This window comes from Homo sapiens, chromosome 1, assembly GCF_000001405.40.
Source record: "Homo sapiens chromosome 1, GRCh38.p14 Primary Assembly".
Classification (NCBI taxonomy): Eukaryota; Metazoa; Chordata; class Mammalia; order Primates; family Hominidae; genus Homo; species Homo sapiens.
Window position 1 is genome coordinate 103,534,644 of NC_000001.11, and position 16,630 is coordinate 103,551,273.

Genomic DNA, 16,630 nt, shown 5'->3' on the forward strand with positions numbered 1-16,630 from the left:
TGAAAGTTTTTTTTTTTTTTTAATGAAGCTGTTTTTATAATGACATGTTTGAAAAGGTAATTTATCTTTTCTGTGTGCAGTTTTTCACCCTTTGGAAAGATAAGATTAACTTTGATTCTGTATGTCCCAGGTCTGATGACCCTGTCGAAGATGATAAAGAAAAAAAAGAACTTGGTTATTTAACAGTAGAAAATGGAATTGCACCAAACCATGGGTTAGCATTTTTGTTTGCTTTTCTTTTGCTTTTGTTCTGTGTTATATACAGATGTACAGATATCTTACTGCTTTTTGCTTATTATATATTGTAATATACAGATATCTTATTGCTTATTGTATATTGTGTTATATACAGATATCTTATTGCAAATAAGATAATTTTAAAAACAAAGATATTTAATGTCATGCATATTTTTAATATGTTGAATAAACATTTTGAGTTGAGTTTGTCACTGAATTCAGTGCAGATAAAGCATCTATTAAGATGTTCAGAGCTACAAGATAAACCTCTGCCAAGAAATGCAGTAGCTTATTTTTCTTTTTAAATGTACTTTGGATCTTTTAGGAACAAGGTAAATCTAATAGTACTGTATCATTTGAGCAGTGTGTTTGTTATCAGGTTACCTAAAATGAGTTACTGATATGAAATTATGAAAACATAAGCATCTTAAATGTTTTTTGTTTTATAGGCTGACTTTTCCTTTAAATTCATGCCTCAAGTATATGTACCCACCACCTTCCAGCACAATCCTAGCAAACATTGTAAATGCCTTGGCAAGCGTGCCTAAGTTCTATGTACAGGTAAGTAGAATAAAACTTTTCCTAAAAGGACTTGTTGTATAGCTTGATACTTTATTTTTCATGCTGATTCTCATAAAAGTAATCAGACTAATTCTAGACAGCCAGTGATACAGTATTTTAAATGTAATTAAATATTTTCTACTTCCAAGTAGAGACTTTTATAAGGTATCGTATAAGTGGATACTAATAAACAGAAGCTAGTTTGGGAAATGTAATTTGTGATAATTCTCTATTACTTTAGAATACATCATTAACATAGAGATTCTTAAAAGAAAAGTTATAGTAGACCCCTGAGCAAATGCTTAAAAATATTGGCAGTAATAACATATTTTTTTGAAGTACAAAGTATAGATGATGTTTATTTTTTAATGTATTTCTCTATTTTATAATTTTACAATAATTGGGTTAAAGATATAAAATCATTTCAGTGGTTTTTATATTGCAAGAACGTTACATTCTTAGCGATGGGACTAATTGAACATGTAGAATTGACATTTTAGGAAGGTTAATCTGAGATATACTAATGCCTTGTTTTACCTTATGCAGAGATTTTAAAGGCAAGAGATGGGCAGGTCTTCCTTTACACTCAATAAATAGTGTTATAGCAAAGTTTCTTAGTACATAAAATACAAGATGTGAGTTGAATCATTTTATATGTGAATTTAAATGTCTTACCACTTTAAGGTCCTTCATCTTATGAATAAAATGAATTTGCCCACACCTTTTGGACCAATTACTGCGCGACCTCCCATGGTAAGAAAACTCTTAGAATTTTCAAGTCAAAATTTCTCTTCCTGAATGGGATTATTGAGGCTGAATTATACAGGTGTTGTAGCAACCTCTGATGTACATTGAAAATAAGGAACGGGTATAAAGTAATATGATGATAATAGTAGAACTGAGAACTGTTAAGTGAGTAAAAGCCGGAATATGAAAGAAATGCTTTTGTCAATAAAGGCTATCATTTCATCCAGTGTTGTTAAGTTTTTTGAGCCAAAACATTGTGCCATCCTATAAGGTAGTTATATTTAACTAAATTACCTAAAGATTTCATAGTTCTGGTTTTGTCACAAATAGAGCTTTTTTTGCAAAAGACGAAAAAGGGAGCTGATATTTTTATTAGACTTGACTATGCAAATCTGTCAATAATTTAGAAGTAGGCTATACCTGCTCTTGAATAATTTTAGTTATTCTTTTGCTGTAGTACTAGTATATTTATGAATAATAGCAATGCAAAATTATTAATACTTTGAGTGTTCATATATGAATAGAAGAGAATGTGGTTTGGGATTTGTTTCTTTTCTAATGTATGTACTATTAACTTTAGGATTTGTTTTTTTTTTCTTTTTGTAACCCCAACACCTACTCAATGCTTGATATATTACTGGAGAATTAGTTAAGGTTATACTAGCTGCTGTTAACAAATAAATTCTTAGTCATTTAATACAATAAAAGTTATTTTTGGTTATGTCAGATCCTTTCCAAAAGTAGAGCAGAGGGATATTTTGTTCTACTGAGCCACGAAAAACACCTGAATTGTTTCGACCATGTGCCTTCCCAGGTTGATGAAGACATTGCTACACAGTCTGCAGATCAGGAAGGAAGAATTGTATGTGGGAGTTTTTAATGGTCTCATTTCATTGGCTATAACTCAGTTACAAGGAGAAATATAACTGCAGAGGAGCTTTGAAAATTTAGTTCAGCTGAGGGTAAAGGAAGAAGAGACAAATTTTGTCATCAGCTAGTGATCTGCCATACAAGGTGTTCCCTTAATATGTGTAGAATGTGTTAAAAAAAAAAAAAGACCATGTGATAGAAATGAGAATGAAGTATTCAGATGGAGTTTGTTCTATAAATATTTTGGACTGCCATAGTATTTTTGTTTTATTCTTTTAATTAGTATGAAGACTATATGCCATTGCATGCACCTCTTCCACCCACATCTCCTCAGCCACCTGAGGAACCTCCTTTGCCAGACGAGGATGAGGAATTATCTAGTGAAGAATCAGAATATGAAAGCACTGATGATGAGGACCGACAGAGGTTTGTAACATGAAAAATTTGTTTAGTTTCCAAGAAACATAGAATGTAAGAAAGAGACTCTTGCTCTCCCTAGATTTTGTGTGTATAATACTTAATAGTTTGGGGTGATTAGAATTTGTCCTCAGCCCCCCAGCACCTCAGGCATATATAGCAGCTATAAATTAAGACCTGAGAATAGATAACAAGACCTAAGTGAAAATTTTTGGATTATGCATAATTTTTTAGATTGATGATTATGGTATTATAAAGTACGTTCGAGCCTTGTTATTTGTGGATTCCATATCTGAGAATTTGCCTATGTGCTAAAATTTATTTGTGACTTCAAAATCAATAATCGACGTGCTTTTTATTTATTATTATTATTATTATTATTTTTGATACGGAGTTTCGCTCTTATTGCCCAGGCTGGAGTGCAATGGCGCGATCTCAGCTCACCACAGCCTCTGCCTCCCAGGTTCAAGCGATTTTCCTGCCTCAGCTTCCCGAGTAGCTGGGATTACAGGCATGTGCCACCATGCCTGGATAAATTTTTGTATTTTTGGTAGAGATGGGGTTTCTCCATGTTGGTCAGGCTGGTCTCGAACTCCCAACCTCAGGTGATCCGCCTGCCTCAGCCTCCCAAAGTGCTGGGATTACAGGCATTAGCCACGTGCCTGGCCTCGATGTACTTTTTAAAGTTTTTTTGTGGAAATGGACATTGTACCATGTGATGAAAAATTTGAGTCAGCCAACACACACGTTCTGAGATGAAGTCAAATAAAGACACCCTCTGCCTTCTTGTTTCAGTTCTTATACTACAAACAAGTATCCTTTTCATAGTCTGTTCAGCACTACCTTTTTTCACATTTTTGAGTTTTTTTGTTGTGACTCTTGTGTTTAAAATGGCCCTTGAGCATGGTGTTGAAGTGCTCTTTAGTGTTCCTGAGCTCAAGAACGCTATGTCAAGCCTGATGGAGAAAATACATGGCTTTCCTTCAGGCCAGAGTTACGATAGTATTGACTGTGAGTCAATGTTAATGAATCAACAGTGTATATTAAGTAAGGTGTTCTTAGACATAAACACATATCAAACAAGGTAATGTATTGATCAGATGACAAGATGTTGTAAACAAAGACTTCCAAGAACCTAATGCTGAATTTTCCTAGGGACAGTGATTTAGTGTTTATGGTAACCTTAGAACATAACTTAGAACATAACATACATCGACCATGTTCATGTTTTGACAGATGCTTATTCTTCTGGACTCTACTTACCTCAGAATAATTTCTAGAGTAATTCTTTAGGATTTCATACAAAACTATAATTAGTAACTACTGCAGATGAATTATTCTTTTTATTGATAGTTCTTGACAATCTATGCATTTTATTTAAGGATTCTGACATAGAATAGTACATTGTTAATAATGGTCATGTATATAATCCACAGCCTGGCTCAGAACAGGAATTGCCAAACTGTTTCTTTATAGGTCCAAAGAGTAAATATTTTTGACTTTGAGAGTCATGTGGTCTCTGTTGTGGCTACTCAGTTCTACCCTTGTAGTAGGAAAGCATCCATAGATAGTATACCTAATGAGTTGGTGTGGCCTTATTCCAACTAGACTTTAATTACAAAAACAGGCAGCTAGCTGGATTTGGTCATTGAGCTGTAGTTTGTCAACCCCTGTCTGCAGGACTCTAATGGGAAAATGATCAAAATCTTAGGTGACTGTGCACGGAAGAAGTGGTATATAGGAGGTGTGAGTGGTTGGCATGAGGCAGAACCCAAGCAGACTCTGAGCAACATATACAAATAATCGCAATTTGACTGAGTCAGTGTCCACCCAAGTAGTGGTACAATGTGCAGTATATTATCTTTCTAAGGGAAGAGTTAAAATCAAAGCATAGGTGGGGCTGAAACTATAAAATGGGAGTGAATACACTATCTGTCTTAAAAAGAGACATTTAGGGAAACAGGCAGTGCCTGATAGATGGTTACTTTAACTTGTTGAGTGTTAACTGCGGACTAATTACTTAACCTCTGTGAACTTCACTTTCTTTATAAAAATAATGATAGTAATTAGAAATGCTACAGTAACCTGGCCAAACCCTTTTTTGTTTGTTTACTTAGGTTTCCATTAAAGGATGTAGTGAGGAATTCTGCCAGTAATTCATCTTGAGTCCTGAGAGAGAACATAGCCTTTGAGTGTACCAAGCTCTAGTTTCATGCTTCTCTTTTATCTTCAGGAAATGTAACAAGACCTAAACAAAAGAAAAATGGTACAGGTTGAGTATCTCTAAACTAAATCTGAAATCCAAAATGCTTCAGACTCTGTAATTTTTTGAGTACCAGTATGATACCACATATGGCTGGCTTAGTGACACCTTTGCTTGTTTTCTTTCTTTCTTTTTTCTTTTTAAGACAGGGTCTTACTCTTTCGCCCTAACTGGAGTGCAGTGGTACAGTCATGGCTTACTGCATATTCAACCTCCCGGGCTCAAGCAATCTGCCCGCATCAGTCCCAGTAGCTGGGACTAAAGGCATGTGCTACCACACCTGGTTAATATAATATTTTTCATATTTTTGTAGAGATAGGGTTTCACCATGTTGCACAGGCTGGTCTCAAAATCCTGGGCTCAAGTGACCCGCCCTCCTTGGCCTCCCAAAGTGCTGGGATTATAGGCGTGAGCCACCATGTCCAGCCAACACTTTTGCTTTCTGATGTTTCCATGTACACAAACTTTATTTCATGTACAAAATTATTAAGAATATTGTATAAAATTATCTTCAGTCTTTTGTGTATAAGTTGTATATGAAACTTAAATGAATTTCGTGTTTAAATTTGTGTCTCATCCCCAAGAGATCTCACGTATATGCAAATATTACAAAACTGGTATACTTCTGGTTCCAGCCATTTTGGATAAGGGGTGCTCAACCTGTACTATTCATTTATTCAGCCAATAATTACTGAATATATGCCTAGCACTCTTGTAGAGGCTTGGTGTACTTTGGGTCAGCAATTTATAAATATGGACATATACTTTGAATAACTAAATTTTTTCATAAAGTTTTTGGTAAACCATGGTTTTTTAAAAGGGTTTAAATTACAGCATATGTTTTCATTTTTCCTCAGGGAAAAAAGGTTTAAAGCTTATTTGAACAATGCCCTCCTTCCTCTCTTTTGTATTTTGTTGTGTGTGTATTTTACAAATACCACCCTGAGAAGTAGAGCTGGGACTAGCGGTTTCCAAGTTCCTGCTCTGTAGATGATACAGAAATGCCTAGACAAGATCTATCTTTAATATTAAATATTCATATTCTTAATAGAGAAAAGCTATGTACAGGTGTTGTCACTTCCTGAAACTACTTCAGAGCATAGTACAGTATTTGAAAACAGTTCTCAGGTAATTTAAGTTACCTTATTTATATAATGATTTGCAACAGTTATTCACAAAATGCTTTTAAATGACATATTTCAGTCCAGGCTCCGTTTAATAATTAGAATATGAATAAAAATGATTTAAGAACATTAATATTATATCGATTTTATTATTGTATCTTGTTCAGCCGTTTGGCATGAAGTCCAGCCATTTTATTTCGGCAACTGCTTATGATGAAACATACATTTTAAAAATTGATAATATGTAATTAAGTCTATTTTTAATTTTTTCTAAGTAAGATGAAAGCTAAGCAAGGCAATTTAGTATTTGAGCTTTTATCAAATTGATTATCTCTTAATTGATGGTGTTCTATATATTTGATGTAAGTAAATCATTTTATAATTTAAATTATACACCAAAATACAAATTTAACGTTAATAGAAACAGTGGTAAATAGCTATGCTTCTAGAAAGGAAATTTTGTTTATCATCCCTCTCCTCATTGTAGAATGAACAAATTAATGGAACTAGCAAATCTTCAGCCCAAAAGACCTAAAACAATAAAGCAGCGCCATGTGAGAAAAAAGAGAAAAATAAAGGATATGTTGAATACACCTTTGTGTCCTTCACACAGGTAATTTTATTTGAACTAAGAAATGAGGGTTGTCTGTATGTACTTTGTTTACTTGCTTAATTCACATCATTCTTCATTCTGGCATTTGTTTCCTGTCAGTGTTCTTGGTTTACATTGGCTTCCTAGTTACCAAATTTACAAATATTCATAATTCTCTCACAGTTGACCACTACTCTCTTCTCTGTCGTAAGCCTTAAGGTATTTGCTTCCAGCTTCCTGTCTGCAGACTCAGAATATCTTATAGGCACTTAAGATATTGTCGAAAACAAAATTCATTTACTTTCCTTTTATCATTTCTTTTCTCTTTCTCCTCGTGCATTTACAGTTTTGTTAGTGACATTACTGTCACTAGTGTAATATATTAGTGAATAATGTCACTAATATAAACATCAGTGTGTTTATATACAGTTATTTAGTTTCTCTTAACTCCATCACCTGATATCAAACATTTTTTACTTAAAAAGTACCCAGCAGATAAAAATTCACATATCTTTACTTGGCACACAGGACTAACCCGAGTGCCTTTAAGTATTTATTGAGTGTATGGTAAGGTTTTCTGCTAAATATTGTGTGTAGTTTGAAGCATGCTTTTAAAGTTTAATGCTGTCTTTTCAAACAGTGAGTTAATAGTCTTAAGTATAATAAGCCAAATGCACAGATGATTATTGCATTAGCAATTATAATACATGACATAGGAAATATAAACTAAGAACTAAAAGGTTGTGAGAAAAGAGAGGTCACAGCCAGTTGAGAAATTTGAAAAGGTTGTAAGAGAGAGGAGATATTTGAGCTGGCCCTTTAAGGAGGGGAGACAAAAATTAGGCAGGGAAACTGTATCCTATGTGAGTGGAAGAATAAAAGGAAAGTTTCCAGAGGTAGGAAAATGTATTGAATAGGAATAGAAATGATGAAAGGGAAAGCTAGAAGGATGTGAAACCTCCCCTAAATGTTAGGCGATGGAGTTTGAATTTATTGAAGAAGCCATTGGAATGCCATTGATATTTTTAAAAATTAAGAATTCCTTTTGCACTACTTTATCTTGTAATAAACTTCCTAAATAATTTGCAGATTTGGGATAAGGGTCAGACCGTAGTTATCCAAGAATGTTAGTAGATATACCTTACCTTTCCACTGTGTTTTGGACATTTTGTTATAGTCCAGAAGTTGCCAGTAAAATGATACTTGTTTTATACATGTTTGATTTGGAGTATTTTACCTTTTTTTCCCTTTGAATCTTTATAGTGACACTGAACAGTAGAAATTAATGTGAGCCACATTAAAATTGTATGAAAACATAATGTAAAATATCTTGATAACTTTTTATATTGATTATATGCTGAAATAATATTTTGGATATAATGAGAAATAATACGTTATATTATCAATATTTCATCTGTTTCTTTTCATGGTTTTAATGTGACTATTGACAATTTTAAGTCATCAAAGTCTAATATTATATAGATATGTTTAAAATATCAAACATAGAATGCACTGTTTTGCATATTAATAAATATCCTGGTGTTTAGAATCAAGAGTCATCAAATCCCTTCTCTGTCATTTACAGAATGACCTTATACAAATTATTGACATCGCTGAACCTCGGTCTTTTTATGTGTAAACTAATAATTTAGTAGTACCTATATTAGAGCATTAAAGTTTATTAAACTAATAAGTCTAAGTCACTCACTTTATTGAATATCAAAAGTGTAGTGAGTCCTTTATCAGTGTTAACTTTTAAAATTTAAAATAAACTTGAAATAATATTTTACTCAGGATTTTATTTGCAATTACAAACTAATGCTATGATTGTTTTTAAATAGCAGTTTACATCCAGTGCTGTTACCTTCAGATGTATTTGACCAACCACAACCTGTAGGTAACAAAAGAATTGAATTCCATATATCTACCGACATGCCAGCTGCATTTAAGAAAGATTTAGAAAAGGAACAAAATTGTGAGGAAAAAAATCATGGTAAGGATATTCTAGTTATTTCACATGCTGAAATCAACTTATTGTGTTAGAATTAAGTTTTACATATAATGTTTCATATTTTAGTATTTGTCAACTTTATTTAAAATATGCAATTAGTGTTTCCCAAAATCATGGAATAATATCCGCTTTCAACTTTTTTATATAACAGAAATTGATGGTAAACGGTGAGATTGTCACTGTTACCCTTTGCTAATAATGACCTCTAGAATGAAATTTAGTGCTTTTTGCTGATGTTTACACTAAAAATATAATGGAGTTTCTTTTATTGACTTTTTCATTTCTTGTTTCATGCCGTGGCCTATGGTTTTATTAGTGTAACTATATTAATACTGGTTAGAAAACAAGCAATGTGACTATTTTGTGAGTTGTAGACTTAATGTAAAAATACATATATATATTTTTTAATCCAAAAGACATGGAAGATTGTTTGCCAAGAATACTATTCTTAAGTTTAAAACAAATGTATTGAAATTACAGATTTTTTTTACTTGTTTTAACCATGAACTTGATGATATAATGGTGTTCTTTTGTTCTTTAAGTCTTTATTTTGAAATTTCTGAAATAATACAAGTTGATAGAAATGTAACCAAAACAAAGTAAAATTGTTAAAAAGTTAACACCTCAAACCTCACTCTCCTGTGTCCTACTACCTAAAGGCAAATACTGTTAGCAATTTGGTATGTGTATATACATACATGTGTGTGTGTTTGTGTGTGTGTATGTATGTATCCTTCCAGACCTTATCCTGTATATGTATGAACACATTTCACTCTTATTTTTTAAATGAACATAATGTTTTGACGGTATTTATCATTCACTCATTAATGACTTGTTGAAAGTTTGTTATCTAGCGGCCTCCATGGAGAAGTTTGCCATGGTCTCTTTTTTGAAGTTTACAATCTAGTTAGGGGTAGCTTACTATGTCAAAGCATAAACATATACTTTACATTTTTTGGCTGTATAATAGCCCTTAATATAATTTTGTCAATATTTTATCATGCCTTTTTCATAGAAGTTGAGGTTGTTTCCCTTCTTTTACTATTGCAGAAAATACTGGAATATGTCTTTGCACATATATCTTTGAGCACTTGTGTGAATATAGGATAGAATTCTAGTAAGTATTGCAAACATAGTGAGTGAAAAACTGTGACTAGTTTTAATTCCTATCTTGGATGGTGAGTGAGAATGTAGTGCCTTTTCAGGTAGCTCCTTTTTAGTGTGTTTATTTAACATTTTTCTTTTTATAAATTTTTCTTATCTCATGGCTAGTCACCCTTTAACAAAATTTTTTTTTTTTACTATTTGGACCTTTATAGAAAATGTTTGTGTATGCCTCTTTTAGTATATTGAGAAACACCAAAGAATTTTAGTGCCAGAAGATATATTATTGAATATAAAATAGGAGGTGGGGACCCAAAAACTATTTTTAAAGGAGAGATTCTTAATGGTTAATGTTAATATTGAACTCTTAGATTTACCTGCTACTGAAGTTGATGCATCCAATATAGGATTTGGAAAAATCTTCCCCAAACCTAATTTGGACATCACAGAGGAGATTAAAGAAGACTCTGATGAAATGCCTTCAGAATGTATTTCTAGAAGGGAATTGGAAAAGGGCAGAATTTCTAGAGAAGGTAATGTCACGAAATAAACTAAGCACATATTCCATTTTACATATCTTTGACTCTATAGAAACAAAACAAATCTGTCATGCCATTTACCTTAATTTAAGGCACATACTTTAAAACATCTCTCCAATTAATGTTTGTAATCACTTCTTCTGTTTTTTTTAAATACTCATACTTTATAGTGGAGGGAACGTTCCTTTCCATACAGTGTTTCCAGTCTATATTTAGGAAAAAATTTTGTTTTCATTCCTAAAACTTTCATGTGGCATTTAAAATAAGTCAGTGTGTCCCACAAGTCTGGAGTTATATTTTCCAAATGCAGCTGATAGACTGTCACAAATACTGTGTCTGAGATACATACAAAGCGATTTAAAAAAAAATGGTGATTAGAAATACATGATTTTAGGATTTTATATCCTAACATGATAATTTTCTACTTCTCAAAGACTTTTACTGTTTTGGTACATTGTCAGAAAATATTTAGAGGCTTTAGATTGATGTGTAGCACATAATTTTTCCTACGGTAATGGGAAATAGACTTCTAGCTAGGATTTTTACACAAAACATCTATCTGATTTTCTAGAACAGATTACTGACATTAAATGAGAGGAGCTATACAAGGGTTCTTAGGCCATGGTTTGTCTGAGATGCCTGATACTGTGTTTACTTCATTCTTGCATTTAAATATGGAGGTGGCTGATGGTTTGGGAAATTCACTTTAAGCAAAATAAGTACCCAAATCAATTAACATATATACTTTGCTCTTTTTTATAACATGACTCATCTTAACGGACCTTTAATAGTAGATATTTTATTGGACAAATTGTAGTTACTCTAGAAGTCTGAAATTTTTAAAACAAAAGTTATATATATATAAAGTTTTTTATATAATCAATTCAGATTTTCAGTGAGTATATTTAAACCCATTTGTAATATTGTTACTAATTTTGTTACTAATTTTATGTAATATTGTTACTAATTAGTTCATATGAAAATGAACTAATTTTCATTTTATGTTAAAGTGAAAATTTTAACATTTTCATAAAGCTTATTTTGTCTATTTAACAATTAGGTTTCAAAATTGTAATTATCTTTAAAAACTTGCTTAAAATATTTTAATTTTATATCTTTGTTTTTTGTTTTTTAATAAGAAATGGAAACACTTTCAGTTTTCAGAAGTTATGAACCGGGTGAACCAAACTGTAGAATTTATGTAAAGAATTTAGCTAAACATGTTCAAGAAAAGGTAGGTATAAATTGATTTTTTTTCATGTAAATGAAAATAATTTGAAGGTTTTATAGTTGATGTGTTAAAGTCTGTTTGAAACTACCTTTAAGAATGTGGTTTTCTTACTGTGCTTCAGGGCATGACAAATTATTGTTTAGTATTTTCAGGTTAATTTTTTATTAAAATAATACTCTCATAGCTTGGGTTCTCTGGCAGTAAATACTGAGACAGAGTTTGTGGTATGTATTAATTTCCTAGGGCTAAGTGGCTGAAACAACAGAGATGTGTTGTCTCACAGTTCTGGAGGCAAACTGAAGTCAAAAGTGTGGCAGGATTGGTTCATTCTGAGGGCTTTGAGTGAAGGATCTGTTCTGTGCCTCTCCCATAGCTTCTGCTGGTATGCAGAAGCTGGCGAACTTTCACCTTCCTTGGCTTGTGGAAGCATCACCACAATTTCTGCCTTTGTACATAGCATACTCCCTTTGTGAGTATCTGTCCAAATTTCCCCTTTTGAAAGGCCACCAGTCATATTAGATTAAAGCCTACCTTAGTCCAGTATGACCTCTTCTACTGATGCATTGATGTATTTATTTATTTATTAAGTTTTTTTCCCCTGGCTTTGTTATTTGTCTTTTTCTTATTGAAATTCTAGGACCTTAAATATATTTTTGGAAGATATGTTGACTTTTCATCAGAAACACAGCGGATCATGTAAGTGACAGTAAAATACAATCTTCAATTATATTTTGTTTTTATCTATTACAAATTTACCACTATTTTAATCCCATCATTTTCCTTTTAGAGATAAAAATTATATGAAAAAGTTCGTCTATTCTGTTGCACAATTAATCTTTTAGATGTCTAGAATAGGAGTTGGCAAACTTTTTCTGTAAATGGGCAGATAGTAAAAATTTAATATTTTTATTTTATTGCAGACCATACAGTGTCTGTTGGAATTACTCAGTTTTGTAGTTGTATTGTGAAGGCAGCCATGAAACCTGAATGAATATTCATGGCTGTGTTCTAATAAAACTCTTTACAGAAACAGGTCGGTGATGGATTCCGACCGTAATCTTCCCTCTAAATACATGGTTCTCAGACTTTAACATTGCATAAGAATCACCTGGAAAGCCTGGCAAAACAGTTTTCTGGGCCCACCTGCAGAGAGTCTGATTTTCTAGGTTTCATGGGTAGGACTCATGAATTTGTTTCTAAAAGGCTCCTGGATGATGCTGCAGCTTCTGATCCAAAGACTATGCTTTGAAAACCATTCTTTCAATGCATCATCCAGGAATATGAAGCAATGAGTCAAAACTTTTTAGATTCTTATTCTGACAGTAGATTGTCATCTTTTAAAAGAACTGCATTGAGCAAGGCTTCCAGTTTTGTAAAAGCAAAAGAGAGGGTTGTGATTTATAAATGTTATAAAAGCTAATGTGTTAGTCTGTTTTCACACTGCTGATAGACATACCCGAGAATGGGCAATTTACAAAGGAAAGAGGTTAAATGGAAAACTCACAGTTCCACCAGGGAAGCCTGGATCCAGGCATTTCCATATATCCTCTGAAATCCAGGTGGAGGCTCCCAAACCCCAGTTCTTGACATCTGTGCACTGGCAGGCTTATCACCATGTGGGAGCTGCCAAGGCTTGACGTTTGCATCCTCTGAAGCCACCACCCAAGCTCTTTGTTGGCCCTTTTCAGCCACAGCTGCCGTGGCTGGGACACAGAGCACCAAGTCCCTAGGCTGCACACAGCACAGGGACCCTGGGCCCGGCCCACAAAATCACTTTTTCTTCCTAGTCCTCAGGTGATGGGAGGGGCTGCCATGAGACCTCTAACATGCCCTGGAGACATATTCCTCATTTTCTTGGGGATTAACATTGGGCTCATCATTACTTATGCAGATTTCTACAGCTGGCTTGAATTTCTCCTCTTTCTTTTCTGTTGCATTGTCAGACTGCAAATTTTCCGAACTTTTATGCTGTGTTTCCTTTTAAAACTGAATGTCTTTAACAGCACCCAAGTCACCTCTTGAATGCTTTGCTGCTTAGAGATTTCTTCCGACAGATACCCTAAATCATCTCTCTCAAGTTCAAAATTCCATAAATCTCTAGGTCAGGGGCAAAATGCCACCAGTCTCTTTGCCAAAACAAAGAGTTTGCTAAAACATAACAAGAGTCGCCTTTGCTCCAGTTCCCAACAAGTTCCACATCTCCATCTGAGACCACCTCAGCCTGTATTTCATTGTCCATATCATTATCAGCATTTTGGTCAAAGCCATTCAACAAGTCTAGCGAGTTCCAAACTTTCCCACATTTTCCTGTCTTCTTCTGAGCCCTCCAAACTGTTCCAACGTCTGCCTGTTACCCAGTTCCAAAGTTGCTTCCACATTTTTGGGTATCTTTTCAGCAGTATCCCACTTTACTGGTACCAATTTACTGTATTAGTCTGTTTTCACTCTGCTGATAAATACATACCTGAGACTGGGCAATTTACAAAGGAAAGAGGTTTAATGGAAAACTCAAAGTTCCACGAGGCCAGGGAAGCCTCACAATCGTGGCGGAGGGCAAGGAGGAGCAAGTCACATTTTATATGGCTGGCAGCAGGCAAAAAGAGAGAGCTCGTGCGGGCAAACTGCCATTATTTTAAAACCATCAAACCTTGTGAGACTCATGTACTATCATGAGAACACAGGAAAGACCCACCCCTATAATTCAATCACCTTTCACAGCGTTCCTCCCATGACACATGGGAATTGTAGGAGTTACAATTCAAATGAGATTTGGGGACACAGAGCCAAACCATATCAGCTAATGTTTGGAGTTAGAATTTCATTCTTTACAATACCGTATTTGTTAATTCCAAAGTATGAAAGACTCCCTGTCATATAAATTAAAAGTAAGAAGAAGTAGAAAAGGTAAGAGGCTTTTGAGTGCAGATAAAATAAAGAAGTGACTATAACTAAATTTTGTTTTAATCTTCAAGTGACACCAATACTTTACAAATCTTATCTGGCCTATGTATTTTTTTAGATAGGTATACACAAATGGAACCGTGTTTCACAATTCTCTATTTATATCCATTAGGGGCAAATACCTCTTCTTACCAGAATGCCAAAATATATTTTTTCTGCTGGCCATGCAAAATGCTAGGTCTTTTTCTTTGTTGCCATCTTTGAGTCATGATTATAAGGAAAAAAAAATTACTTTACTGCATTTTTTGATAGTTTTTTATGTATTACTTTGGTAGTCTCATAGACTAAATATTAGGTAATATTTCAGTTGCAAATTACAATCTGATTTTTCTAAGTAGCTTTTGACTATGATTTTCTCTCAAAAATTTCAAAAAATGGATACATGGAATAGTAGATCACTATATTAGGAATTTAAAAATTTGGTTTGTGTTTCTGACTTTAGATCTTAGCTATCTGCTTTGAAGAGTCACTCACTGTCTCTGGACATCACCTGTAAAATTATGGTTTTAATTAGATAATCATTGAGGTTCCTTTCTACTCCGAAGTTCTGTAATTGCTTATAATAATATAATGAACTCTAGGCCAGGTGTGGTGGTTCATGCCTGTAATCCTAGCACATTGGGAGGCCGAAGCGGGGGGGATCACTTGAGGTCAGGAGTTCAAGACCAGCCTGGCCTATATAGTGAAACCCCATCTCTACTAAAAATACAAAAATTAGCCAAGCATGGCGGTAGACGGCTGTAATCCCAGCTACCCGGGGGGCTGAGGCAGGAGAATCGCTTAAACCCAGGAGGTGGAGGTTGCACTGAGCCAAGATCACGCCACTGCACTCCAGCCTGGGCAACCAAGCAGGACTCTGTCTCAAAAATAATAATAATCATAATAATAATAATATAATGAATTCTATAATTGCTTATAACTGGCTGTTAATCCTTTCTATTTTTCCATTCTTGGTTATGTAGTAGTAGTTGTTTTTTTAATCACTTGAGCAGATAGTGCCAGATTGTAAGGAACTTAAAAAATTGAGATAAATAGTAATTTAAGAAGTTTGCAGCCAGTGCGGTGGTCCACGCCTGTAATCCCAGCACTTTGGGAGGCCGAGGCGGGCAGATCACGAGGTCACGAGGTCAGGAGATCGAGACCATCCTGACTAACACGGTGAAACCCCATCTCTACTAAAAATACAAAAAATTAGCCAGGCGTGGTGGCGGACACCTGGAGCCCCAGCTACTTGGGAAGCTGAGGTAGGAGAATGGCGTGAACCTGGGAGATGGAGCTTGCAGTGAGCGGAGATCATGCCACTGCACTCCAGCCTGGGTGACAGAGTGAGACTCTGTCTCAAAAAAAAAAAAAAAAAAAAGAAGTTTGGTTTTCTAGTTGCTAATAGTATAATTTTTAAATCACATACTTTTATGATAGTTGAGAATAGTTAAAAGTATATCTTAAACAAATACTACCTACTTGTAGAATCAATTTTAGTGCAGAACATGAAATATATTTTTAGAAAACTGAATAATTGACGTGCCTATCAAATAGTGTAGTCACTTTTATTTGAAATAGCAAAATGTTAGATTATTCAACACATTTTCATTCACATTGAAACTGACATTCTTTGAATCAAAACTGTTTCTTCCTTCTAGGTTTGATATACGTTTGATGAAAGAAGGTCGTATGAAAGGACAAGCTTTCATTGGACTTCCTAATGAAAAAGCAGCAGCAAAAGCCTTAAAGGAAGCTAATGGATATGTGCTTTTTGGAAAACCCATGGTGGTTGTATCCTTTAAATCCATCTATTTCAAAACTATATAATTTTTAGAAGGATATAACTGAAATTAATTTTCATGTTACCCTTTAGAAATTTCCACAATTGGCATTCTAGCAGTAGATATTCATTCGTTACAATTAAACCCACCTTACTGAGTCAGATGACAGTGTTATTTAGATTTTTAATAAAAGAGCTTCAGCAGCATGAG

At 34.0% G+C, this 16,630-nt stretch overlaps 1 protein-coding gene across 1 annotated transcript in view; it reads left to right on the top strand.

Annotated features, from left to right (window-relative positions):
* Positions 1-16,630, top strand: part of RNPC3 (RNA binding region (RNP1, RRM) containing 3) — a 29,541-nt gene that overhangs the window by 8,945 nt on the left and 3,966 nt on the right. The window contains exons 4-13 of the mRNA NM_017619.4: positions 131-214; positions 687-798; positions 1,483-1,551; positions 2,699-2,841; positions 6,707-6,832; positions 8,653-8,804; positions 10,298-10,459; positions 11,605-11,699; positions 12,334-12,392; positions 16,298-16,430. Of these exons, the coding sequence (NP_060089.1) occupies positions 131-214; positions 687-798; positions 1,483-1,551; positions 2,699-2,841; positions 6,707-6,832; positions 8,653-8,804; positions 10,298-10,459; positions 11,605-11,699; positions 12,334-12,392; positions 16,298-16,430 (1,135 nt within the window). The remainder of the gene's footprint in view (positions 1-130; positions 215-686; positions 799-1,482; positions 1,552-2,698; positions 2,842-6,706; positions 6,833-8,652; positions 8,805-10,297; positions 10,460-11,604; positions 11,700-12,333; positions 12,393-16,297; positions 16,431-16,630) is intronic.